Source organism: Homo sapiens, chromosome 5 (genome assembly GCF_000001405.40).
Source record: "Homo sapiens chromosome 5, GRCh38.p14 Primary Assembly".
Classification (NCBI taxonomy): Eukaryota; Metazoa; Chordata; class Mammalia; order Primates; family Hominidae; genus Homo; species Homo sapiens.
In genome coordinates this window covers 180,782,598-180,807,457 of record NC_000005.10, presented here as the reverse complement: position 1 = coordinate 180,807,457, position 24,860 = coordinate 180,782,598, and the positions used below count along the sequence as shown (strand labels likewise).

The 24,860-nt window shown below is 51.6% G+C and overlaps 1 protein-coding gene across 37 annotated transcripts in view, besides 11 other annotated features; it reads left to right on the top strand.

The window, feature by feature from the left end:
* MGAT1 (alpha-1,3-mannosyl-glycoprotein 2-beta-N-acetylglucosaminyltransferase) overlaps positions 1-22,678 on the top strand; it is a 30,837-nt gene extending 8,159 nt beyond the window's left edge. For 21 of the 37 annotated variants that reach the window (NM_001364383.2, XM_047417229.1, NM_001364380.2 and 18 more), the window contains one exon: positions 14,361-22,678. In NM_001364383.2, the coding sequence (NP_001351312.1) occupies positions 14,487-15,824 (1,338 nt within the window). In that variant the 5' untranslated portion in view covers positions 14,361-14,486 and the 3' untranslated portion in view covers positions 15,825-22,678. Of the gene's footprint in view, positions 1-3,555; positions 4,163-4,651; positions 4,783-11,582; positions 12,578-13,091; positions 13,192-14,360 lie in introns of those variants that run through there. The other 16 variants (NR_157150.2, NR_157151.2, NR_157153.2 and 13 more) reach the window with 13 other exon arrangements.
* Positions 2,513-3,218: an enhancer, noted in NCBI's record as "H3K27ac-H3K4me1 hESC enhancer chr5:180231240-180231945 (GRCh37/hg19 assembly coordinates)". NCBI's record gives its function as "activates a minimal SCP1, AML or CMV promoter by ChIP-STARR-seq in naive and primed H9 embryonic stem cells {active_cell/tissue: H9 hESC(naive and primed)}" and the evidence as "EXISTENCE:reporter gene assay evidence [ECO:0000049][PMID:30033119]".
* Positions 3,673-3,782: an enhancer, noted in NCBI's record as "active region_23770". NCBI's record gives its function as "activates an Ori minimal core promoter by ATAC-STARR-seq in GM12878 lymphoblastoid cells {active_cell/tissue: GM12878}" and the evidence as "EXISTENCE:reporter gene assay evidence [ECO:0000049][PMID:35858748]".
* Positions 3,926-4,632: an enhancer, noted in NCBI's record as "H3K27ac-H3K4me1 hESC enhancer chr5:180229826-180230532 (GRCh37/hg19 assembly coordinates)". NCBI's record gives its function as "activates a minimal SCP1, AML or CMV promoter by ChIP-STARR-seq in primed H9 embryonic stem cells {active_cell/tissue: H9 hESC(primed)}" and the evidence as "EXISTENCE:reporter gene assay evidence [ECO:0000049][PMID:30033119]".
* Positions 3,926-5,340: a biological region, named in NCBI's record as "H3K27ac-H3K4me1 hESC enhancers GRCh37_chr5:180229118-180229825 and GRCh37_chr5:180229826-180230532".
* Positions 4,153-4,202: a silencer, noted in NCBI's record as "silent region_16772". NCBI's record gives its function as "represses an Ori minimal core promoter by ATAC-STARR-seq in GM12878 lymphoblastoid cells {active_cell/tissue: GM12878}" and the evidence as "EXISTENCE:reporter gene assay evidence [ECO:0000049][PMID:35858748]".
* Positions 4,213-4,292: a silencer, noted in NCBI's record as "silent region_16771". NCBI's record gives its function as "represses an Ori minimal core promoter by ATAC-STARR-seq in GM12878 lymphoblastoid cells {active_cell/tissue: GM12878}" and the evidence as "EXISTENCE:reporter gene assay evidence [ECO:0000049][PMID:35858748]".
* Positions 4,463-4,822: a silencer, noted in NCBI's record as "silent region_16770". NCBI's record gives its function as "represses an Ori minimal core promoter by ATAC-STARR-seq in GM12878 lymphoblastoid cells {active_cell/tissue: GM12878}" and the evidence as "EXISTENCE:reporter gene assay evidence [ECO:0000049][PMID:35858748]".
* Positions 4,633-5,340: an enhancer, noted in NCBI's record as "H3K27ac-H3K4me1 hESC enhancer chr5:180229118-180229825 (GRCh37/hg19 assembly coordinates)". NCBI's record gives its function as "activates a minimal SCP1, AML or CMV promoter by ChIP-STARR-seq in naive H9 embryonic stem cells {active_cell/tissue: H9 hESC(naive)}" and the evidence as "EXISTENCE:reporter gene assay evidence [ECO:0000049][PMID:30033119]".
* Positions 9,452-9,953: an enhancer, noted in NCBI's record as "H3K4me1 hESC enhancer chr5:180224505-180225006 (GRCh37/hg19 assembly coordinates)". NCBI's record gives its function as "activates a minimal SCP1, AML or CMV promoter by ChIP-STARR-seq in primed H9 embryonic stem cells {active_cell/tissue: H9 hESC(primed)}" and the evidence as "EXISTENCE:reporter gene assay evidence [ECO:0000049][PMID:30033119]".
* Positions 20,601-21,511: an enhancer, noted in NCBI's record as "H3K27ac-H3K4me1 hESC enhancer chr5:180212947-180213857 (GRCh37/hg19 assembly coordinates)". NCBI's record gives its function as "activates a minimal SCP1, AML or CMV promoter by ChIP-STARR-seq in primed H9 embryonic stem cells {active_cell/tissue: H9 hESC(primed)}" and the evidence as "EXISTENCE:reporter gene assay evidence [ECO:0000049][PMID:30033119]".
* Positions 21,512-22,423: an enhancer, noted in NCBI's record as "H3K27ac-H3K4me1 hESC enhancer chr5:180212035-180212946 (GRCh37/hg19 assembly coordinates)". NCBI's record gives its function as "activates a minimal SCP1, AML or CMV promoter by ChIP-STARR-seq in naive H9 embryonic stem cells {active_cell/tissue: H9 hESC(naive)}" and the evidence as "EXISTENCE:reporter gene assay evidence [ECO:0000049][PMID:30033119]".

Here is a 24,860-nt window from a genome sequence, read left to right as displayed (position 1 = left end):
ATTCCCTATAAAAGCAGCCCTGTTTGTCTTTATCTTCTCACTTCCTGTCTGCTCCCTCCTTCAATTCCAATTTACCTGTGCCAAGATGCCTGCTTTTCCCAGGGACAACACACAGCAGAAAGGAGGGGTAGAGCACAGTGTTGGGAATTTTGAGAGACAGTAGGGTATGGTGGCCTGGGCAAAGGGCAGGAGGCCTGGCTTCTGGCATGTCTCTGCCTCTCCCTAGCTCAGTAACACCTAGGCCTCACATGTTCCTTGAGGATGGGTGACAGTGAGGTCATCTGCAAACTGAAAATCCTGTACTTATGCCTTACTTTCCATGTTAAATTTTTTTCTTCCATCCCCTTCCCCAGTCTTTCCTTTTTTGCCACAGGAGTTTTCCTCACTCCCTCCAGCGGCTTGAGAGGTGGGCAGTGGCCTGGGTGGAGCTGCTGCTCCCGAGCTGTACTTTCTCCTCTGGTCTGGTGCCTGGGGCAGCCCCTTTGAGGCCAGGCTGCTCCTTTATAAGGTGTGGGTCTCAAGATGGGTGTACCACCTTCCCCAGCTTCACCCAGCAAATTTCTGTTGCCAGTCTTTGCTTAGACACAGGGGTCACAGTGATCCCTCGGGGATACGTGATGCCACGGTGCCTCCTCAGCCATCTCTGGTATCCCAGGTACCAGGGAGTTGCGTATTTGCGTAATGCTTCTATCACGTGATCCAGTCAATCTGTTTTGTCTGTTTTCCCTCACCACTTTGTTGTGAGGAGAACAGAGCAGGGATTCTTTTCCCAGTTTGAGGGGAAGCTACGGAAGCCCTGAGTGGGAAGGGTTTGCCTAAGGGTAGAGCGGTAGGCACTGAAATCACCTCCCAGTGCTGTGCTGTTTCCACAGCATCTGACCTGACCAGGCCATCTGGGTTCTGCTGCAAACCTCCAGGGAGAGAAGCTCTGTGCCCTGCCAGACAGCCTCTCTGGTAGAACGTTTCCTCCTTAGAGTGAGCAAGCATTCCTCTCCCTGACCTTCCCACCCTCCTGCCCTGCACCTGACCCTTCCATGAGACAGTCCCTTCAAGACAACCATTGGCTTTTTCACATGGGCACCAGGATGCCAAGGCATAGCACTCAGCAGGTGTCAGGCTACTTAGCCAGGAGCAGTGATAGACTTAACCAGACTGTGTGTGCATTTTTTTTTTGAGACAGAGTCTTGCTCTGTCGCCAGGCTGGAGTGCAGTGGTGCGATCTCGGCTCACTGAAACCTCCACCTCCTGGGTTCAAGCTATTCCCCTGCCTCAGCCTCCCAAGTAGCTGGGACTACAGGCACACGCCACCACGCCCGGCTAATTTTTTGTATTTTAGTAGAGATGAGGTTTCACCATGTTGGCCAGGATGGTCTCAATCTCCTGACCTTGTGATCTGTCTGCCTTAGCTTCCCAAAGTGCTGGGATTATAGGCATGAGCCACGGTGCCCGGCCGTGTGTGTATTTTAACTCAATTAATTATTTATATCCTTCTTTATTCCAAAAAGAATTGTAGGTGGCTAACCAAAAGTTACATTTCACAGACATTGTTTAGTGATTATTATGTTAATCTTTCCTCTTTGACCTGGATGAGATGAATTTCTGGGTCTCCATTGTGGGGTGAGGGAGAGGGGCAAGCAGAGATATTAGGAGGCAGGGAGAAGGGAAACAAAACACTGATTTAAAAAATTTGCTTTTACTTTTTTTTTTTGAGATGGAATCTCACTCTGTCACCCAGGCTGGAGTGCAGTGGCATGGTCTCTGCTCACTGCAACCTCCGCTTCCCAGGTTCAAGCAATTCTCCTGCCTCAGCCTCCCGAGTAGCTGGGACTACAGGTGCATGCCACCACACTTGGCTAATTTTTGTATTTTTAGTAGAGACGATGTTTCACTATGTTGGCCAGGCTGGTCTCAAACTCCTGACCTCGTGATCCGCCTGCGTTGGTCTCCTAAAGTGCTGGGATTACAGGCGTGAGCCACTGCGCCCAGCCTGCTTTTACTTTTACTGATGTTTTCAAGCCAACATATGTTTTAATTTAAGGGCATGAATTCTTTCCAAATTGTAAAAAGTGTCAGGGATCTTGGGCATGGTTTATGGGAGGGCAGTTTCCTGGAACAGTTTTCACTTCCTTTTCATCTTTTCAGTTCTCTTTTGTCAGTGGTGGAGTGGGCAGGGGAGAGTATTGTTCCTCTGCCTAATCTTGTGACTGTTTATCCTCCTGGATAATCTGGTCTAATCTTGTGACTGTTTATCCTCCTGTTTTTTCCTTTTGCACATAATCCAATCCCAGGCCCACCCCCAGAATCCTGGCCCCTTGTTTCTATCCTTCTTACTCCAGTCACTGCTCCCCATGTAACCTCTATCAAGAGCTCAGAGCCTCTTTTCCCCAGGTCAGTTTGGCACTCATTTACCCTGGTTTCTTGCCTCTCAGACCAAGTGCTTGCTTTTGCCTCCATGAAGCCCATTCTGATTCCCTAACCAGGCCCTTTCTTTTTGGGATGGTCTCTTGCAGTCCGGGAATTTCTCCTTTTGGATCTTCCTGTGAGCCTTGGGATTTCAGCCAAGGGTGGTAGAGATGGGGTGTGCGTTACAGTGCACGAACAGCCGCCATCCTGTTTCCCCTTCACCTGCCTTAGATGGAGAAGTATCAGGGTCAGTGGTGGGAATCTGATCTTCCCCCACCTTTCAGCACCCCCTGATGTCTGTCCTTTCTCCTGGAAGGTGATTTTGGCTCCTCATGTCTTGGATCTACAAACCAGTGTTTCCCAGCCTTTTCACTTTTAGGAAACACAATTGTTTTTTCCTTTACGCCTTGACACCTAGTGTGAGTGTGCAGAGCCCCCAGGCCCCTGACTCCTCCATTAGGCAAACATAGGGCAGAGGTGACAGACACTGGCCTCTGACTGGCATATCCGCCTGGGTTCGAGGCTCCTGCCACAGTGCGCGCAGTCAGCTAAAGTGGAAGCCACGGGCTTCCCGCACATCGCACACTGCACACGGCGGCCTCGGTGGGCCTGCCCTTCTCCCACTCCACCTCCAGGTCTGGGCTCTGGCCACTTAAGCGGAGGCTTCACGGCAGCGCCTGAGAGGAGACAGAGCCCTCTCAAAGCACTGGCGCTGGAGGATGTGTGCGGGGGTGTTGGGGGGCGCACAGGAGTGCCCGGTCTAAAACCTGGCTATGCTCCCCACCAGGTCTGGTGGCTTGCAGCACGTTTGCACTTACCCTGAGCCTCAAACTAGTTATCTGTAGAATGGGGATGATAACGCTCACTCCGCAGAGCTGCTGAGGCTTGAAGGACAGGCCGAGGGAGGGTTTGGCCCGTGAGGCCCCTCACCATGCCTGGTGACCCCTTAGCAGTTTTGATTTAGGTCCTCGCCTCCACGCAGGGGCCTGCGGGTGCGCGCGGCCCTTTGTTTCTCTAGAACCCTGCACGATTCGTGGTTTCATGTAGAAACAAGTTAGTGAGCAGTCAGTCAGTAACCACAGGCCGCAGAGTTCCGGGCTGCTCCGTGCTCTGGAACACGGGGGAGGGGTTGATGTCAGGGGCGTGGGTCCTGATCACATGGCAGCAGCCCTTCTTGGGGAAGTCAGCTACCCAGCAGCCTGTAGTCCTCGGCTACCCACCCTCACCGCCTGGGGTCCCATGGTGAGACAGCTGGGTGGGCATCAGGCTTCTGCAGAGGGCCAGGCCGGAGGGAGCTGGGCGAGGGAGTGGGGCTGGCTCCTGGCTTGCACCGGCCTCGTGGAATCCAGGCCTCAGACCTGATCGCTGGCGAAACTGGCTCTGTGCGCTGGAGCCCCTGGTCTTCTGCGTCTGTCCTCCTCCCGGCCAGACTTTACTCCTGGCTCAGCGACAGGTATTTGCTATGGAAGAGCTGTCCCTCCCTCCCCTCGGTGGGCCTGGGTCCACCTCCACCTCCTCTTCAGGTCCGCACCTTCCTCCCCTTTAAAACACCAGCCGGGCGCAGACCCGTTCTAGGCTTTTCCATGGTGCTTCCGCCAAAGCTTGTGACCGAGTCCTTCCCGCCTAGGGCTGGTGGGCCTCCCCTGCTGGTAGGTCTCTCTTCGCTTTCTTTACTCAGAACTGAAGCTCTCATTCCCCACCCACCAAGGAAAAACAAAAGGGAAGAAGCCACAGCTGGCCCCGGCTTGCTTTGGCACAGGTGTTTCCCCCCGGCCCCCCGTCGGGCACCCTGGTTCCTGTTCTGTCCCTGCCCCACGCGACCCTGGGGCTCCCACCCGGGCTCCTCAGCCTCCCCTGGGTTGGGGTGGGGGGACTGGCTCCCAGCCCTTGGCCTAGGGTTTGGTGAACGCCTTTCCTGGACTGCGGGCCCACTTCAGGCGCGGCTCCAGGCTGGGCAGCTGCGCTGGAGGGCCGAGGGCAGGGGTGGGGTCGGGCGTCCACCCTCAGGGTTGCGCCAGGGAGCCGGAAAGCCGACTCCCGAAGTTGGGGTCCTGGGAAAACTTGGGTCCTGGGTTGACTGAGAAGCGGCGGGGAAAGGAGGCGGGCCAGGAGGAGGGGGCCTGGCGGACGCCGGCCGGGGGGCGGGGCGCGGCGGGGCTGTCGGTCACGCCCCTCAGTCCGCCCCGCCCCGCCCCGCCTGCCGGGGAAGGGCCACGTTGCCCGCCCGGCCGTCCGGCCCCGGCGCGCCGCAGAAAGGGCTGGCGAGTCGAAAGGCGAGGCGGCCGCGGCAGCGCTTGGGACGCGCCTGGGCACCGGGCTCGCTCCCTGCGCCCCGGAGCAGGCCAAGTTCGGGGCCAGGACGTCGGGAGGACCTGGTGAGTAGGTGTCCGGGGACGGAGGTCAGACCGGGGGAGGCCTCGCGGGCGCCGAGAGGGAGCCCAAGGGACGTCGGGTCGCCCCAAAGCCCCGGTGCCCATGAGTGCTAGCGAGAGGGGGCTTGGCTGGGGAGCGGCCCGGTCCGACCCGGTGCCAGCTGCGCGTTAGTCCCTTCCCGAGCCGAGAGGTTGGAACTCCGCCTTCTGCTTTCGGAATCCCGGGCCTCCAGCTGTTAGAGGAAGGGCGGGCTCCGCGGACTGGGGAGGATGTTGTGAAACTCGGCCCCGGGCGTCCGTGCGTGCGGGGCAGGGAGGGGGTGGGATTGGGGAGTGGCCTTTCCCCCCTAACCTCACTCCAGCATCCTTTCCCCAAGTTAATAGAGGCTGATTCTCCTCAGCAGAAAGGAAATGTTGATTCAGTGTTGAAATATATATATAATAAGTTGGCAAGAAAACTTTTCTTCCTGTTTGCTAACGTGTGTGGAGTAGAGAGCCCCGGGACGTGCAGTGCCCGCGTCTGATAAACTCTGAAGTAGAGGGACTGTGGCTGGCCGGCTCCCTGAAGGCTGAAGCTTCACTTTGGTTAACCCTTGCTGCTGTAGTGGGTCTGCCGTTTTGTTTTAGAACATCACTGGCTGAGATGTTGCCCAGCTTTATTTTCAGTCATTTACGGTATTTTTTCAGGCCGTGTAGCCTTTGCTCTTACGTGCTCACATCATCCAGGATCTGCCTTCCATCAGCAATCACTGCGTCCTGGTCCTTCCCAATTCTGGGGACCATTGAGCTCACCCATTTCCCTGCTTCTGTGTCTCATTCTCACTGTTAGAAGCACTGCGGTATGCCTGACCTCAGTGGCCTGTGTTAACAAGGGAAACTCATTACTGTTCGGGGCAGTAGGGAAATTGTCACTGTCGTCAGTATCCAGGCAGTGGGACCTTGTGATGAACCAAATCAACCCTGTCACCTTATAGATGAGAGAACTAAGGTACAAGTGGGTCAAGTGACTTGTCCAAAGTTGCCTGGCTTGCTGGCTGGATCGCCTGAATCCCAGGCCTCATGCCTTTTGTGGCACTTGTATTTAGCTCTTCTTTTCCAGGATGAATAACCTGCATCCCTTCCCTCCTAGGTCTTATTCTCTCAACTCTTGAATTATTTAGTGTATCTTCTCTGACTACCTTTCTTTTTTTTCCGTCCTGAAATTATGGGCCTGGTACATGATACAGGAGTCCAGCCAAGGTCTAAGAACGAACATGAAAGCAGTTCAGTTAGAGTTCCATTACCTGTGACATGTCTATATTTTCTGGAATTTTTACGTAGTGCTTTTTAACTTTAAGCAAAGCAGAGATAGAAGGGAAAATCTGTTACCATTTCTTCCACTTCTGTACTTAATTTTACAGCTAAATATAACTTCTCGCTTATTGCTCATGATTGGAAGTTGACTATCTGGTGTTCACTTGCTATTTAAGAAACATTTTTTGCCAGATAAAGGAAATAGGCTGGAGAACACCATGGTATCAGAGTGTTAGAAAGGATCTCACAGCTCCTAGGCAGTCCTTCAAATGCTTCAGAAACTGAGTGAGCCCCATAGGGGCAGGTGGCGCCTACCCAGAGCCACCTCGGTTTTAGCTGAAGGGTTTTGTACTGAAAAGACTCACTTCTCATCTCCCACCATGGTGCAGATGTCTTTGTACCTGGTGGTGTGGATTGGCTGTGTCACCTCCCTAAAGGAGTTGTGAAAACTCTAGAAAGTCAAAGCCAGTTTTGAGTCTGTGCCTTGCATGCCAGTCTCATAAATGACATCATTAGGAACTCAGGTCAGGATTAAGGGCAGTTGTTCTATTTAAAAAGGAAGGTGTAGCAGATTGTATTTTCCCTCAAGGGCCTCACCCGTAAGTATCCCCTTCCACATGTAGTTATAGTTTGACATTGTCCACTTCCCACCTAGTGGTGGGGTTTATGATTCTCTCCCCTTGCATGTCAATAGGGACTTGTGGTTCCCTTGACCAGTGAGTAAGACAGACCTGATCCAAGGCTGAATCAGGAACAGGATACACTTTCACCTGGCTTGCCCGCTTTCTTGGAACACTCACCTTTGGAATGCAGCCACCACTTCCAGGACATTTCCAGGCCACATAGAGGGGTTCTAGTGAGCACTCCTGCTGATAAGGTCTCAGCTGCTGCCAACATCATCCTACAGACATGTGAGAGAATGTGAGAGCCTCTAGGGGCATCTGGCCCTCAGCTTTTGAGTCTTTCAGCAAGGCCTCAGGCATAGTGGAGCAGAGACACGTCATCTCCTCTGTGCTGCACTGTCCACATTTCTGACCAATAGAAACTGTGAGGAGTAAGTGATAACTATTGTTTTAAGCCACTAAATATCGAGGTAATTTATTATGCAGGAGTAGATACCTACTAAGGAAGGAGACATGAGTGGAGACAGGGCCTCAGTGTTTGGACTTGGAGCTGAGCACAGAGGGCAGGGAGGGCACTTGCCCTGCTTGTCAAGATTATCTAGAGTCTGTTTCTCTCATTGCTTCAGGTACTGATGGCTGCATAATGAGTCACCCCAGAACTTAGTGGCTTACAACAACAGAATCATTTTATTAACATCTCAGCTATGTGGTTCTTGCTTGTGGTCTTTCACGCCATTGCAGTCAGCTGGGGCTGGGATAATCTGGAGGGCTGTCTCCTGTGTCTAGCGGTTGATGCTGGCTGTCAGCTGGGACCTTAGCTGGGGTGGTCAGTTGGAATACCTATGGGGGTCCTGTCCATGTAGCAGTGTCCTGTCCATATAGCAGGGTCCTAGGAGTCAGCATCTTAAGAGGACCAGGTGGAAACTACTGCCTTTTATGAGTTAGTCTCACAAGTCACATAGCATCTCTTCCCAGAACCAAAGGGAGGGAACATAGACCCTCAGCTCTGGAGGCAGGAGTGTCTTTATCACTTGTAAGAAGAGCATATGGAATGGGATATGTGCGGTCATCTCTGGAAAATGTCACACTTCACTCTCTTGCTGCTGCGTTGGCCATCTTTCTCCCTGATTTCGGTAATAGTGCAAGCAGTCTTCCATCCAGCCACTTGAACCTCATACATGTGCCAAGCACTGTGGTGGGCACAGAGGTCATAGAGTCTTTTTTCCTAAGGAGGAAGGTGGGAGTCAGGTCAGCGTGGCCACAGATTCTGTTACAGCGTGGAGAGAGTGCTGTGGGAGTGTAGTCATAGGGAGGCCTGGCTCTGTCTGTGATGTTACAGAAGGAGTCACCTGAAGTGGCCTGAAAGGATGTGTGGGTGGCTGGCAGGTGGCGCTGTGGGTCAAATTCCAGGATGAGGGACCAGCTGGAGCAGAGACACAGCAGCGTCCAGGTATATGCTTACTGGGGAAAAAGCAGCCTGCTGAGGCCAGAGTGCAGGGTCCATGGGGTTAGTGGTTGGAGGTAAGGTTGAAAAGGGATGTTTCAGACAGTCTGTCTGAAGGGCTTTGGATGTCATCATAATGAGTTTGAGTTTGAGTTTGTGGGCAGTGCAGCCTCTGATGGTTTTTAAAGCAAGTTAATGTCGTGACCAGGTGTACTTGTCAGGAAGGATGCGCTGTTGCTGTTGGGAAGGTTTGTGAGAGGGAAGCAAGATTAGTGACAGGTGGACCAGCTGGGAAACTACATCAAGAGTCCAGACTTAAAACAGTGTTTCCTACGAAGGAATGAGTTCAGGTTAAAGGGCTGGAGGGCTTGACATGGGATGCTAGCAGTCAATGAGTAACTTTGTACTTCCATTTTCATAGTTTTGAAGTTCTTGGTCCTAGATGTATTTCAGAATTGAGAATTTTTTGGATTTTGAAAAGATGATCTGGTGAATTTACTCTGTAGTGGAAGATCAGAAGCAGCATGGCATAAGCCACCATGTTTATTTCTGTAGCAAAATGTATGAATAGCCACAGCAGGAGAGAGAAAAGACTATAAATAGCCCCATATTAGATCAGATCAGATTTTACCAAATGAGGCTGGATGAGGTTTTACTGCCAATTGAGTTTAGAAAACTTCTGTGTTTTAGTGCTTCTTGGATTTGGCAGTTACAGTTGAGGAACTGTGGATGTTTTTAGATCCCAGGCACATCTGCTGAATGTTGAGAGCCCTAGCACAGCGGCTTGGCAGTGCTGGTGGAGCCAATCCCTGTCTTCATGTAGCTTGCAGCTGAGGGGGCCTGAGAGAAGTTGAGCAAGTGGTTGCGCTTGTTGCTGTTGGTGAAGGGTAGGTGGACCTTACATGGTCCCAGGCGTCAAGGAAGGCATCTTGGCAGAGACACGAATCAGAGTGTGCCAGGTGAAGAAGATAGGGAAGAGCAGAGCTGGCACATGGGCACATGCAAAGACCCCGACGGTAGGCTTGGCTGTTGGGGTACCAGACGGGAGTGTGGTAGAGTGGAGCAAAGAAAATGGGGAGAAAGGAGTGAAATAACGGCCGATATTTACGTTGTCATGCCGGCACTGTTCTAAACACCTAACATGGCTCATCTCATCCGATCTTCACAGCAACCCAGTTTGAGTCTCAGAAATGTGGCAAAACGTAGGGTGATGCCTCTGGGCTGTCTGGCTTGCCTTTGTTGCTGCTGCACTCTCCTGATGGTGGCCTGAGCAGTGCTTCCTGGAGAAGCAGGTCACCGCTGCTGGCCAAGGTCTGGGCTTGATCATCCTTTTGGGCACAGCCAGTTGTGAGAGGGTGTATGGCTCCTGGTTCATGTGTGTGCACACAGCACTAACTTCCAGGCAGAGCTGAGGATCCTATCCCAGGAACTACGTGGATAAACAGTAGGAAAATAGCACTGGGGCCCAGGCTGAGCCTAAGGAGGTGGGCTGGAACTAGGGGTGTCATGTCCTCTTATGGCAACAGGAGCAAGTTTGAAGCACAGGGCTGTGGGGTGGAGAACAAGGGCCCAGGGATTGATTAAGGTGGAGGCCAGGGCTTGGCCGGGGCAGCTTTTCCTGTGGGCTCTGCAGCCACTCCATGTGTGTGCAGACTTGCCAAGTAAAAACTCAGTCAGAAGACTGGTTTGCTCTGCATGGCTTAGAAGGGTGGGGCAGGAGGTCCTAAGCATCAGGTAGTGGGTGTGGGCCACCAAATTCTGATGTCTGGAGAAGAGTAAAAAGGCATCTAAAGGGTGCAGAAGTTATCTCAAGGGTCCCAGGAGGCTTTGCCATAAGGGCCTGCAGGTCATTGATGAGTCAGGGACGGGCTATCCCTCTGGGCCCCCCCCCCCTTTTTTTTTTTTTTTTTTTTTTTGGTGGGGGATGGAGTCTTGCTTCATCATCCGGGCTGGAAGGCAGTGGTGCCATCTCAGCTCACTGCAACCTCCGCCTCCCAGGTTCAAGGGATTCTCCTGTCTCAGCCTTCTGAGTAGCTGGGATTACAGGCACGCACCACCACACCCGGCTAATTTTTGAATTTTTATTTTAGTAGAGATGGGGTTTCGCCATGTTGGCCAGGCTCCTGACCTCAGGTGATCCGCCTGCCTTGGCATCCCAAAGCGCTGGGATTACAGGCTTGAGCCACCAAGCCCAGTGGGGCCCCACCCTTCTAAGCCATGCAGAGCAGCACTTCACTGAATAGAGTTCAGTCCCTCTTCTCCATCCCCATCCTGTTATATAAAGTCTTTTTCTTGCACAGTCATTTAGGAGGTGGGAAGTTGGGAGACAGGGAATCCTGGCCATTAGATTGGAGGGAAAGTTCCAACATGGACAACATCCTGAGGGGAGAGCGAAGAAGAAACTGAAACTCTTCTGGGCCCAGTGGCTCACACCTGTAATCCCAGCACTTTGGGAGGCTGAGGAGGGTGGATCACTTGAGGTCAGGAGTTCAACACCAGCCTGGCCAACATGGTGAAAGCCCGTCTCTATTAAAAATACAAAAATTAGCTGGGCGTGGTGGCAGGCACCTGTAATCCCAGATACTCGGGAGGCTGAGGCAAGAGAGTCGCTTGAGCCTGGGAGGCAGAGGTTGCAGTGAGCTGAGATCATGCCACTGTACTCCAGCCTGGGCAACAGACAGAGTGAGACTCTGTCTCAAAAAAAAAGAAAAAAAACTGAAACTCTTTTGTGCATCACTCTTTTCTTCCACATAAACTTTCTTAAAAATCAAATATGGGGATATGGCCCACAGCTCTGAGTAGCTTCATCCATCTGTATGGCCCCAGCTGGGCACAGCAGTAAGGCCAACTGAAACGACGTTTGCCCTGAATTTCTCGGTCACTTGACAACATGTATCTAATTGATACATAATATTTGAGCCCTGATATAATAGAATTTAATTGCACAGTTACATGGAAACAGACTTGACGTTTCTGAGAAGACTGATGTCCTGGCGTGGTGGGGGTGGTTGGTTTCTAGGAAGAAGACAAGTGGTTGGTGGTGAATGCTGGCAGGGGCTGGTGAAGTCTCCCCAGGAGGGAGACAGAATCCATGTCTCTTTAGAGGCCCTTCAGGATCAGCCCTTTTATACCAGATCTGCTGGTTTGAGAGCCCAGAGCCTCAGAGGTTAGATCTGAGGCCCAAGGTTTTGGCCAGGATTAGAGAGTAGCCTGTGAGGCAGAGGGCAACTGGCAGAGCTGTTGGTGTAAGAGGGTGCACGCCTGAAGCTTTGGGGTGTAAAGGGTAGACCAGAGGCAGGACAGTCAAGGAGTTATGGTCTGGAGTGGCAGCTGGCTGGGAATTGGGGAGTGTTTCAGATCCTTTCAAGTAATGTGGTCTGGTAGAGCTTGGAGGATTGGTGGGACCATGCCTTTTTCTCACTGGTTTGTGTCCTGGTTCCTTCCCAGAGCCTGGCAGAGAGCAGGTGTGTGATACACGTCGTCAGGTGACTGACCGAGGAATTCAGGGCAAACAGATCATCTCAATTTGCCTTGCTGATGTGCCAGCTGGGATTACGCTGATGGATGAAGCTCTTCAGAGCTATGGGCAATATCTACATATTTGATTGTCAAGAAACTTCGTGTGGAAATAGCTTCAAACTTACACAAATTGCAAGAATAAAAAATAGTATAAGGATATTCGTACACACTCTCTTTACTCAGATTCACCTGTTAATATTTTGCTCCATTTGCTCTCTATGTGTGCAGAGTATGTTTTTGTTCTGAACCATTTGAGAAGTTGCATCTATCCTGGTCCTCTACTTCTCAATACTTCAGTGTGTATTACCTAAGAATTGGAATTAATCAGTTATCACTGATACTTTAACCTACTGTCCATATTCCACCTTTGTCATTTTACCCAATAACGTCTTTTTAAAAAAAGTTTTTTGAGGTTTCATTGACATACAATTGATATCAATATGTGCAAAGAACTGCATATAAAGTGTACAATTTGATAAGTTTTGACATATATGTGTGTGTGTGTATATATATATATATATATATACCTGTAAAAGTATCACCACAATCAAGATAATAAACATATCCACCCTTCTAGAAGCTTCCTAATGCCCCTGTGTAGTAACTACCCTACTGCCCTTCTCTGCCTCCATCCCCAGGCAACAACTGATCTGCTTTCTGTAATATAGATTAGTTTCTATTTTCGGCAGTTTTATGTCAATGGAATCACAGTGTATGTGCTCTTTTTTGTTTTTCCCAAAAAGACCCATATTGTGTAATTATTTGGAGATTGTGTTGTGTATGTCAGTGGTTTATTCAGTTTTATTGCTGAATATTATTCCATTCTATGAGTAAACCACAATTTGTTTATCTGTATTTCCCTGTTGATGGGCCTTTGGGTTATTTCCAGTTTTGAGTGATTATGAATAAAGTTACCATCAACACTCCTGTGTAGGTTTTTGTAGGGACATGGCTGAAAGTAGAAAGAAATGGGGCATGCAGGAGAGACTGGGCTTGGTTATAACAGCCTGTTATCCCTGGGGAACTAGCTCACTCACCAGAGGACGTTAGGAAGGATCTGCCCCTGCCCCCCTTGTGATCCAAACACCTACCACTAGACCCCACCTCCGGCAGCACCACCACACAGGGGATCAAATCCCAACATGTGTTTCAGAGAACAAACCATATTCAAGCTATAGCATAGCTACGTAATTATTATAACACTATTAATAAGACCATCTTTGCCTTGGGAATTTTAAGTAGCACCTTTATTACATATTAGATTTTTTTGTGTAATGAGTCTGTTTCTGGAGCTTAAATTCTATTTCACTGGATGGTCTGTTTATTTATGTACCAGTACCACGCAGTTGTAATTATGGAGGTTTTGTAGTATGCCATATATATATATATATAATAAAAAAAAATTTTTTTGAGACAGAGTCTCACTCTCTTGCCCAGGCTGGAGTGCAATGGCACAATCCAATCACAGCTCACTACAGCCTCAGCCTCCCAGACTCAGGTGATCCCATCTCAGCCTCCTGAGTAGCTGGGACCACAGGTGCGTGCCACCATGCCCAGCTTTTTTTTTTTTTTTTTTTAATTGTTACTTGTAGAGACAGGGTCTCCGTGTGCTGCCCAGGCTATTCTTGAACTCCTGGGCTCAAGTGATCCTCCTGTATTGGCCTCCCAAAGTGCTGGGATTGCAGGTAGGAGCTACTGCATCTGGCCAGTATGCAGTATTTTCATATCTGGTAGGGCTGAGTCCCTCCTCACAGCTTATTTTTATTGTTTTCCTAGTTTTTCATGTGAACTTTACTGTCAGTTCGTCTAGCTCCATAAAAAGGTATTTTTATTGGGATTTTTGATGATGCTGAAATGTCCTGACCAAGAACAAGGGATATTCAGATGTTCTTTTGTGTCTTTCAGGAATGATAGTTTTGTTCACATAAGTTTTGAATGTTTAAGTTTATTTAAGTTTATTTCTAAATATTTTCTCATTTCTCTGGCTTTTGTAAGTAGGGTTTTCTCATCCATGTTTTCTTCTCATGAGTTATTTGTGGATATGAAGGCTATCCATTAGTATATGTTGATTTTTATATTACACTTCCTTGCTCAGTTCATTATTGATTCTTTTTGAGTTTTCCAGGCATATTCTCACAAGTAAAGATAATAGAAATAGTTTGCTTCCTTTCCACTTCTGCTTTGAATTTTTTTTTCTTGGTTCATTTGCATTGGCTGCTTCCTCCAGCAAAATGTTAAATAACCCTGGAGATGATGGGCAACTTCGTTTTGCTCCTGACATTCGTGGGGTGCCTCTGGTGCTTCCCTGTTGGTAAGGGGTTAACTGTAGCCCTGAGGTGGGACATTTGATTTTAAAAATCAGTCATCTTGGGGCGCTTAGGTTAGAGGAATGGTAGGCAGATGCTGTCACTCCTTGCCCCTCCCCTCCTCCTTCCCACCTGGAGGGGAAATGAAATCTGACAGGTAGAAAGAGGGGAGTTGGGGTTCTTTTTCTCTCTCCCTCCACCAGCATCACTCTCTGCCTCTCCCTCAAAAATACGTTCCTGGGTCAGGATATATGTTGACTCCCTAGAGAGCTCTGGAGTCAACCTCCTGGCCTTCCTCCACCCTCACTCTTGGCCTTTTCCTGCCCCCATTTCCTCTACCTGTGGGGCATGGAGCCACGAGCCTTTGTGTGACGGTTTGCTTTCTCTCTCCTGTCTTTAGGTGCATGGCTGCCTCCTAATCCCATAGTCCAGAGGAGGCATCCCTAGGACTGCGGGCAAGGGAGCCGGGCAAGCCCAGGGCAGCCTTGAACCGTCCCCTGGCCTGCCCTCCCCGGTGGGGGCCAGGATGCTGAAGAAGCAGTCTGCAGGGCTTGTGCTGTGGGGCGCTATCCTCTTTGTGGCCTGGAATGCCCTGCTGCTCCTCTTCTTCTGGACGCGCCCAGCACCTGGCAGGCCACCCTCAGTCAGCGCTCTCGATGGCGACCCCGCCAGCCTCACCCGGGAAGTGATTCGCCTGGCCCAAGACGCCGAGGTGGAGCTGGAGCGGCAGCGTGGGCTGCTGCAGCAGATCGGGGATGCCCTGTCGAGCCAGCGGGGGAGGGTGCCCACCGCGGCCCCTCCCGCCCAGCCGCGTGTGCCTGTGACCCCCGCGCCGGCGGTGATTCCCATCCTGGTCATCGCCTGTGACCGCAGCACTGTTCGGCGCTGCCTGGACAAGCTGCTGCATTATCGGCCCTCGGCTGAGCTCTTCCCCATCATCGTTAGCCAGGACTGCGGGCACGAGGAGACGGCCCAGGCCATCGCCTCCTACGGCAGCGCGGTCACGCACATCCGGCAGCCCGACCTGAGCAGCATTGCGGTGCCGCCGGACCACCGCAAGTTCCAGGGCTACTACAAGATCGCGCGCCACTACCGCTGGGCGCTGGGCCAGGTCTTCCGGCAGTTTCGCTTCCCCGCGGCCGTGGTGGTGGAGGATGACCTGGAGGTGGCCCCGGACTTCTTCGAGTACTTTCGGGCCACCTATCCGCTGCTGAAGGCCGACCCCTCCCTGTGGTGCGTCTCGGCCTGGAATGACAACGGCAAGGAGCAGATGGTGGACGCCAGCAGGCCTGAGCTGCTCTACCGCACCGACTTTTTCCCTGGCCTGGGCTGGCTGCTGTTGGCCGAGCTCTGGGCTGAGCTGGAGCCCAAGTGGCCAAAGGCCTTCTGGGACGACTGGATGCGGCGGCCGGAGCAGCGGCAGGGGCGGGCCTGCATACGCCCTGAGATCTCAAGAACGATGACCTTTGGCCGCAAGGGTGTGAGCCACGGGCAGTTCTTTGACCAGCACCTCAAGTTTATCAAGCTGAACCAGCAGTTTGTGCACTTCACCCAGCTGGACCTGTCTTACCTGCAGCGGGAGGCCTATGACCGAGATTTCCTCGCCCGCGTCTACGGTGCTCCCCAGCTGCAGGTGGAGAAAGTGAGGACCAATGACCGGAAGGAGCTGGGGGAGGTGCGGGTGCAGTATACGGGCAGGGACAGCTTCAAGGCTTTCGCCAAGGCTCTGGGTGTCATGGATGACCTTAAGTCGGGGGTTCCGAGAGCTGGCTACCGGGGTATTGTCACCTTCCAGTTCCGGGGCCGCCGTGTCCACCTGGCGCCCCCACTGACGTGGGAGGGCTATGATCCTAGCTGGAATTAGCACCTGCCTGTCCTTCCTGGGCCCCTCCTTGCCACATCATGAGCTGAGGTGGGACCACAGTCCCCAGGCTGCATCGGCCTGCCTGTGTTTCCCTCTTAGGTGCATTTATCTTTTTGATTTTTCCGAGTGGCATTTAAGTGCACAAATGATAACAAGAGGATTATTCTCCCGTTCTCAAGGGAGTCAGATCAGGGGAACTATTCTAGGGTATGTTGCGGGGTATTAAGCAGGAAACCACTGTGTGGTGGGGGGCACTGGGCTTGTTGGGGCCAGAAATGTCCACGTCCTGAGCTTTCTCCTGGAGCATGTGCAGAGAGTTTGGCAACGTTCGCTCTCTTGACCAGACCCCTTCTCCCTGACCTGGCTCTTCCAGCCAGGGCACGAGCCCTCCTTCTATACCTGCTCCCCTTCCCCCAGTGGGGACTGAGTTATGGGAGAAGGGGACATATTTGTGGCCAAAATGATACTAACCAAAGGGGCTTCCTTGTCAGGGCCTGGTGGAGTTGGTGGGTCATCGGGGCTCACTGCCTCCTGCCCTTCTCTCCTGTCTGACCCCCACTTAGCCCTTCTCTCCTTGCAGCCTAGCAGTTTATAGTTCTGAGATGGAAAGTTGAAGGGGGCAAGCAAGACCTCTCCTCAGCCCATGCCCAGCTGTCAGGAGAGAGGTGCAGGGAGGAAGGCCTTGTGCTGGGACAACCTCTCTCTTGCCTTACCTCAGAGAGGGACTATGCCCTGACCCCTCCTTTCTGAAAATCAGTGCCCTCCCTGTTGCTCTAGGAGGCTCCTGCTGGCTTGGTAGAAGACAGAATTCGATCTGCCTGTCCCTTTTTCCCCTGGGGTTTGACACACAGGCTCCTCTCAGCATGAGGTGGAGCAGTGACCAGGTGGAGCAGTGACCAGGACGCCTCTGGCCCAGTGCTGCCCAGCCTCCCCGCCCGCTCCCAGGCGCCCCATGTCCTCACAGGCCAGGACGCCATGGCAGGATGGAGAGGACTTGGTGGATTTTTGTTTCTTGCCTGACCTCAGTTTCATGAAAGAAAGTGGAAGCTACAGAATTATTTTCTAAAATAAAGGCTGAATTGTCTGAAAAATATTTATGTGTGTGTGTCCTGGAAAAGGAGGTGGCAGGCAGGGAAAGAAAGGAAAAGGGAGAATGAAGAGTTAAGGAGAGGGCTAGACGGGTGGGAGGAAGCAAAGTTGAGGAAAGAAAGCAGATGAGTGGGAGGGAAGAGCCAGGGACAGCCCAGGGGATGGGGGCCAGGTGGGAAAGGAAGTCCAGGCCACAAGGTGGAGAGGAGCCCCGGACTGTGCTCCTGCTGATCGTCCTGTAGAGCCAGGAGGCCGCAGCAGGAAAGCTGGTGAGTGTCTCCTGCTTCTGCCTCCTGCTGGCTGGGCAGGCCTGGTCTGGGGAAGAACCAGGTCCTCTGATCAGGGTGGTCCCTGAGTGGTGCTTTGTGCCCGGTGCCCTCTGCTGGCCCAGGCAGTGCTTATTGAGTGCCCTTTATGACGTGCCGGGGAGCCTCAGGGTACACAGCTGATACCAGGGTTGGCCTCACAGTGGCGCTTGGACTCCCAAACGCAACCCCAGTGAGAGTGCCTGTTTTGCTAATACCCAGAACACAGACAGACTGTTACCTCTGCATATCACGTGCAACATTCTGAGAGTTTCTGTTCTCCACTAATTCATTTAAAAGAACAAAACGCGGCCGGGCGCAGTGGCTTACACATGTAATCCCAGCACTTTGGGAGGCTGAGGCGGACGGATCACGAAGTCAGGAGTTCGGGACCATCCTGGCCAACATGGTGAAACCTAAAAATACTCTACTAAAAATACAAAAACTTGCTGGGCATGGTGGCACACACCTGTAATCCCAGCTACTCAGGAAGCTGAGGCTGGAGAATCACTTGAACCCGGGAGGCAGAGGTTGCAGTAATCCAAGATCATACCACTGCACTCCAGCCTGGGCGACAGAGCAAGACTCTGTCTCGGAAAAACAAAACGCTTTTTGTGACTCACGAACTTGATTTCATGAGTGGGTTTGAAAACCCTGGGCTAGTCCAGGCGCGGTGGCTCACGCCTGTAATCCCAGTACTTTGGGAGGCTGAGGCGGGTGGATCACTTCAGGAGTTTGAGACCAGCCTGGCTAACATGGTGAAACCCCATCTCTACTAAAAATACAAAAATTAGCTGGGTGTGGTGGCACATGCCTGTAATTCCAGCTACTTGGGAGGCTGAGGCAGGAGAATTGCTTGAACCCGGGACGGGGTGGTTGCAGTGACCTGAGATCGCACCACTGCACTCCAGCCTGGGCGGTAAGAGCGAAACTGCGTCTCAAAACAAAACAAACCAAAAACCCTGGGCTAGGCAACTTTCTTGGCAGAAACTACTTTGGAGCTCGACACCAGATGGTGGCAGAGTTGTCTGGGGAGCTGTGTCGAGGGCCGTGGCCTTGGGAGCAGCTCCAACCTCCCATCTGGGCTCAGAAACCAGTGTCAGACATTGGTTTTATTTTAACCTTTGAGATTTGTGTGGAGCGGGTTTTGCCTTCCCCTGTTGCTTAGATGGATTATTTAGCCATATTTTTTGTTAAATAAGGGGAGGTGGTCATTATCCGTGATTTCAGACGTGGAATCGGCCCGGCGATAGCTGCATTGTGCCCTTTCCGGTGGAGCCAGGAGGAGTTTGGCCGCCACGCTCCATGCGCATAGCATGTCATGCAGCTAGCCAAGTGCATTGTTCTGAGTGCTCCAGGATAAGTACCAACTTACTTAGTGCTCCAGGATAAGTACCAACTTAGTGCTCCAGGATAAGTACCAACTTACTTAGTGCTCCAGGATAAGTACCAACTTACTTAGTGCTCCAGGATAAGTACCAACTTACTTAGTGCTCCAGGATAAGTACCAACTTACTTAGTGCTCCAGGATAAGTACCAACTTACTTAGTGCTCCAGGATAAGTACCAACTTACTTAGTGCTCCAGGATAAGTACCAACTTACTTGATCCTCAGAGCAAGCCTAGGCGGTGGGTACTGTTTTGCTCCTGTTTTACCAGTGAGGAAGCAGGCACACAGAGGTGAAGTTGCCCAAGGTCACACAGATGGTTGAGGGAGAGCCGGATTGGAATGAACTCTGTGCTGTTAGCCACTGTGTGAGGCTGGACTGTTCCATTCCAGCCTTTACGGCCTCTTCCAGGCCATTCCCCAGCTGCACTTGGATTCTCAGGCCAGGCACCGGCGGTCTCCTGTGAGGGTGGAGAGGAAGAGGGGGCTGCGTGGCTCGGGGAGGTCCAGGAGAGATGGCGGGAGGAGTAGAGTTTGGGGCCTGCGGTGCCAGAGGACCCCCTTACAAGACGAAAGACTGGGTTCTCAGGCTCCTGAAGCAAGGAGCACCTTCAGGGGTCTCCTGGTATTCACCCATCAAGGCTTGCTCAGGTGGCATGCGTGTGTGCGTGGCGGCTGCCCCCGGGCCCGGAAGCGCCTGTGGATACCAAAGCAAGTGGAAATGCCAGATGGAAAAGCCCCGTGTTAGTCAATGCTGTAGAGTTCAGCCAGCCTCGAGTTTGCAGGTTTACAGAGCTGCCTTGCGCCTGGCTGCTGCTGCTGCTGCATTCCTGCTTCTGCCTCCAGCTGTGACCACCTCCTGCCACTCCTGCTCTCACTGTGGGTTCCTGCTCACTCTGTCTCCAGGACAGACTGCCTTCCGGGCAGCCTTCCCTCCTCAAGCCTCTTGGCCTTTGCAATCCTCTTACCTGGGTCACTGGTGGGATCTCATTTGTGGATCAAGTCGCCCCCAGTGGAGACAAATGTCTGATGGAGTCTGGCCAAGGCCCTCCTGAGCCTTCACTGGGCCCTGCATGAGAAGCCTGCCAAGGCTGAGGGGCCAGGGAAACGGAGACGAAGCCCTCAGAGCAGGCCAAGAGGGTGGGAGGTGGGGGGCATTTAGAGGGTTAGATACAGAGCACCCCTTTACAAATACCAGCTACTGGCTTTTCGTATTACATGTTCATTTTAGATACAACATACTGCACACGCTCCCTTAACGTGTGTTTACGCGTGGGTGGTGTATCCTTCCAGACGTCTTCCTCACATCTATACATAATATGCATAGATAAAACATTTACCACCAAAACCCATAGTGTTATGTACATATTTGTCTGGCTGTGTAACTTTAAATAACATACAAATGTATAGAACAGAAGCTTGCCCTCTTTCTGAAATATCTAACGTGGGATTTCAGGCTTTCTGATGAGACCTCTGTAGAGGTCAGTGTTTTGCCACCAGAGGTCCTTCAGCCTCCATCTGTTCTCCCACCTACCCACATTCTGGCCCCTGGCAATTCACAGGGAGTTTAGGAAGTAGACACCAGGGCCCTATTTCCTGGAGACCAGCCTGGTGGCCGATGTCATAGAGTGCGGTGGGCCTGGGCCGGCCCTGCTCTGGGCCCGTGACCTGCGTGTCTGACTCGGGTCCAGCTGTTCTTCCTGCCAGAGCCTCTTCCTGTGAGGCGGGGGTAACACAACCTTCTGTGGTGGCTGTGGGATTAATCCGTATGGCTGCATTGTGAGTAAAGCCTGGTGGAAATCTCTGTCTCCACTGCTTTCCTTTTCCTGCTGTTCACCTTGGCTCCCTCGACACTTAATCCCCCTCCACATGTGTCTGGAGCGGGCAGAGCGGGGGCAGTTGATAGAAAGGGGGCCGGGTAGTGCCAAGGCTGTTACTTTCCCCCACTGCCTCCCTTGGCTAACTTGAAGTCTGACCCTTTATACCAGAACTGTAAGACAGTGTGTCAGAATGGATTCAGTTGCAGAGCAGGAAGCCTGGATCCCAGCGCCGGACGGAAATGAGAGGTCGATGGTGCAGGCTGGTGTGGGGGTTCCTCCACCGTCAGGGCCCAGGCTCCTTCTCAGGTCTCAGTCTCACTCTTCTTAGCACGAGGTCAGGTCTCATTCCTTGGCTGCGGGAGCTCCAGCCAGCACACGTTTTAGGAAGAAGGAGGAAGGAAGAAGGTAAAGGGTGGATGGCAGCTGCCTCCTCCTCTCTTGGAAGCTCACAGAGCGCTGGGTCACAATTCCCTGGGTAGAACTGGATCACACAGGCACCCCTGTCAGCAAAAGAGGCTGGAAAAAGTATTTCTGAAGCTGAATCAAATTAAGATTCCTGTTACTAAGAAGGGAGTGATTGTATGGGCGACTACAGGGACCACGGCCATACACGGTGCCTGGAAGACCAAGCTTGTGACAGTGACGAGGATTTGGAGAGGGCAGGGTGATGGGGAGCTTTGGGGGGAGTGCATTAGGAACCCTGACCTGGAGAGGGGCAGAATGAAACCTGCGGGCCCCTAACCCTAGTGGGTTGTTTGAGAAACCTGTCCTACTGTGGCAGGGGGCTGAGTCTTCTCAGGGTCATGCATGAAAACTGAAATTCCTGAAGGCCACACACAGCCCCGGAAGTGCTGACTGACAAGGGCACATGCCAGTGATGCAGTTTTCTTTTTTGTCTTCACTTTTGTTGTTCCGCCGTCTTCAACACATGGCTCCCAGCTCACAGCAAATGCTGCCCTGGTTCAGCTACCAGGAAGCAGGAGAGGGGAAGGGAGGGCAAGCCTCATTCTTTATGGAACAAAAGCAGTGGGCAGACAGCCTTCCCTCACGTTCCACTCACTGGAATGTGGTCTGGCTGCCTTCCCTGCAGGAGGTGGGATGCACCCTCAGTGCAGCAGCCCTGCCCCAGCCAAAAACGTCTCAGCACAGCTGTAAGAAGAGGAAGATGGCTAGAGACAGGCAGCCTTCCCTGCAAGGGCAATGAGGCAAGCCTGCCAAAAGCCTCCTTTGGAAATACTGTTTGATTACTTTTCAGAGTTTCTATTTAGGAAAAGGGCAAAACCTTTCAGGATCAGGAGTAGGTGAGCGGCGATCAGGCCTCACTCTTCACCGAGGGCCTTCCCTGAGGAGGGGCCTGCAGGACGCTGGCAGCGGAATGGGGCTGTGTGGCTGCTAGATTAGGTCATGGCAGGGAGACAGCCTCTTCCTGGTTCTTGCTAGAACAGGCACACTTGGGGCCTTGAGCTCCAGGGAGTTCATGGAAGACATCTGACTACCCTGAGCCCCTTGCTGGAGGGTTCTGGGGAGTGGCCCACGGCCACCGTCACCCATGGCCACCGTCACCCACAGGGGCCGTGAGGACATCCCTGGCCAGCATCTAACACAACCACATGGGATGCCCTAAGCAACTACTGCCCAGCCGAGGGCTGCCTGAATTTCTGACTCACAAATGGTGGGCAATGTGAAACGGGTATTTTAAGCTGCTGAGTTCTGCGGGAGTTTGCTGAGCAACAGTAGAAACCAGAACTCTCGGATACTGTGTTCTGTCCTTGAAACGGTGGAAGATTTTATGTGACCAGAATGGAATGTTTGAACAAATATTTTGAGAATAGAATTTTAAAACATTTACTCATCAGCATCCAAGGGTGGGGAGCAGTGTCATCTAGGAGACTGGTTCTATTATTTACGTAGATGTTCTTGAATTAAAGGATGGGAATATTTTTTCCTTCCAAAACTTTTTTTCAATTTTATATTCTGTTTTTCAAGTTTTTATTATGAAAATATTCAAACTCACAGGGAAGTTGAAAGACTAATACAAAGAAGAACCATACTCTTTCCACTGACATGATCCAACGAGGAATATTTTGCCACACGGCAAATATATACCGTATAATTTTCTGTACCACTTGATAGAAAGGTAAAGAATGAATATTGTTTTTTAAATAACTTTTTTCGTATATAAGTAATATGTGCTTATCGTGTAACTACCTAAAAACATTGAAAAATAAAAGGAAAATAAAATTCATACATAACCGCCCTGCCCAGATTAACTATCTTTGGTTCTTGGCTTGCTGAGCAAGCTTCTGACCTGAACTTGGTCTTCATTGGGCACGGCTGCCCTCTACTGACAGCTGGGAGTCCTCGGCCTCCTTATGAATGAATCAAGCCAGTTGGTTCTGAAACTGCAGAACAGAGCCTGATGGCCTCATACCTGGGTTTTTAAAAATCAAAATCTGGCCGGGTGCGGTGGCTCTCGCCTGTAATCCCAGCACTTTGGGAGGCTGAGGTGGGTGGATCACGAGGTCAGGAGATCGAGACCATCCTGGCTAACACGGTGAAACCCCGTCTCTACTAAAAATACAAAAAATTAGCTGGTCGTGGTGAAGGGCGCCTGTAGTCCCAGCTACTCGGGGGGCTGAGGCAGGAGAATGGGTGAACCCGGGAGGCGGAGCTTGCAGTGAGCCGAGATCACACCGCTGCACTCCAGCCTGGGAGACAGTGCGAGACTCCTCTCAAAAAAAAAAAATCAAAATCTTGGGTGAGGCCTCACCTGAAATATCAAGTGTGACTTCCCTGTCCTTGTCATATTGCTCCCTTGAATTGGAGCCTGCCCTGATGCCCGCCTGGCTCCAGGCCAAGCCCTAGCAGTTCTCCACCCCAGTTAGACAGCATGCAGCTGTGGTTCCAACGCCCCTCCCTCAGCTGAACCGATGCCCCTGATTCTCCCTAAATTCTCCTTTGTCCTTCAGTTCATCTTTCTTGTCCTTTTGCTCCAATCACATAGTGTGAGGGAAGACTCTCCTGAAACCATGTTTTCCCTCCGCTCTCACACTGCAACAATCATCTACACAGAAGAAGACTTCTGTGACCAAACGTGTGGGGACCTCTCCCCACTCCCAAGCGGTGGACGTCAGCCAGGTGTCCTCCAATCAGTTCCAACCCTGTCTACCTGGAGATAGTGCCAGATCCCACAGGTTGAGGGCTCCATCCCCAAGACTCATCCTTGCCCCACCCCACCAATCGAATGTTGGGGCCTCCAGAACTTCTGACCAACTGGGTTCAAGTTGGGGTTCCCACAACCCCCTCTTTGAGTTTGATTAATCTGGGGGAGTTGCTCACAGAGAATCAGTTTACTAAGAAGGATATTTTAAAGGATATGGATAATTAGCCAGACGAAGAGGTACATAGGGTGAGGCCTGGAAGCACAGGAGCTTCTGTTGCCGTGGAGCTGGGGTGCCCCACCCTCCCGGCATGTGGACGAGTTCTTCACCCTCCTGTCGGCCTCCACGTGTTCGGCCCAGTCCCCTTGGTTTTTTATGGAAGCTTCATGACTTTAGCATTCCTTCCCCCAGGGTATAGGATGGGACCCTCTCATGGGAGGGCCTTGAGTCCTGCCTCAGGGCAGTGGAAGGTCAGAGTCCTGCCCCTGAGGCCTGACTCACCCAACACTGTAACAAAAGACTGTAACAAGGGCTGTGGGAATTATGAGCCAGGAACCCTGGGTTGAAAACCAATACATAAACCAATATACGTACACATATTGTGAAGAGAAAATACAACTTGGGACCTCAAAATCACTAAGCCGAAGGGACAGATCAAGCTGGGAACTGTGTCACACAAACCTGCCTTCCATTCACAAATAAAAAAGCTACATGCCTCCCTCACAATTTGCCCTTGTGGGCAAGATCTTTACCCTAAAAGTGTTCTGTTGAATTCCACCCTGACAATGTAAATTGATAGTCTATCTTCGCAGTGATGGGACAAAGGAAAGAACTCAGCCATTTCTTTGCTCACCTGAGACAAATGCATATGTGATTGCTTCCTCTGCCCTACTTTATCTTATGTGAAAGTGCAGATTCACCCCAGCTAGCTGACTATTCCTTTGCCTCCCTTACATGTGGACGGCTGATCAAAGGCTCAAAAGAAGGCAACCACTTGCCTTTTATCTACCCACACCTTTTAAAAATGTCTTCCTCTTTCTGCAATACCTGCCCTTTTTCCTTTAAATATTGAAGCCCTCAAAATCATCTTTGGAGAAAGGCACAGACTTGGGTCCTGGGTGCATGTCCTTAACATTGGCAAAATAAACTTCTAAATTGACTGAGCTCTGTCTCAGATACTGTTTGGTTTACATGGTAACCATGAAGGGATTCTGAGTGGAGCTACCCCTGACCTTTGGCAAATCTCCTACGGGTACTTGGTGCCAGCTTGAGCTA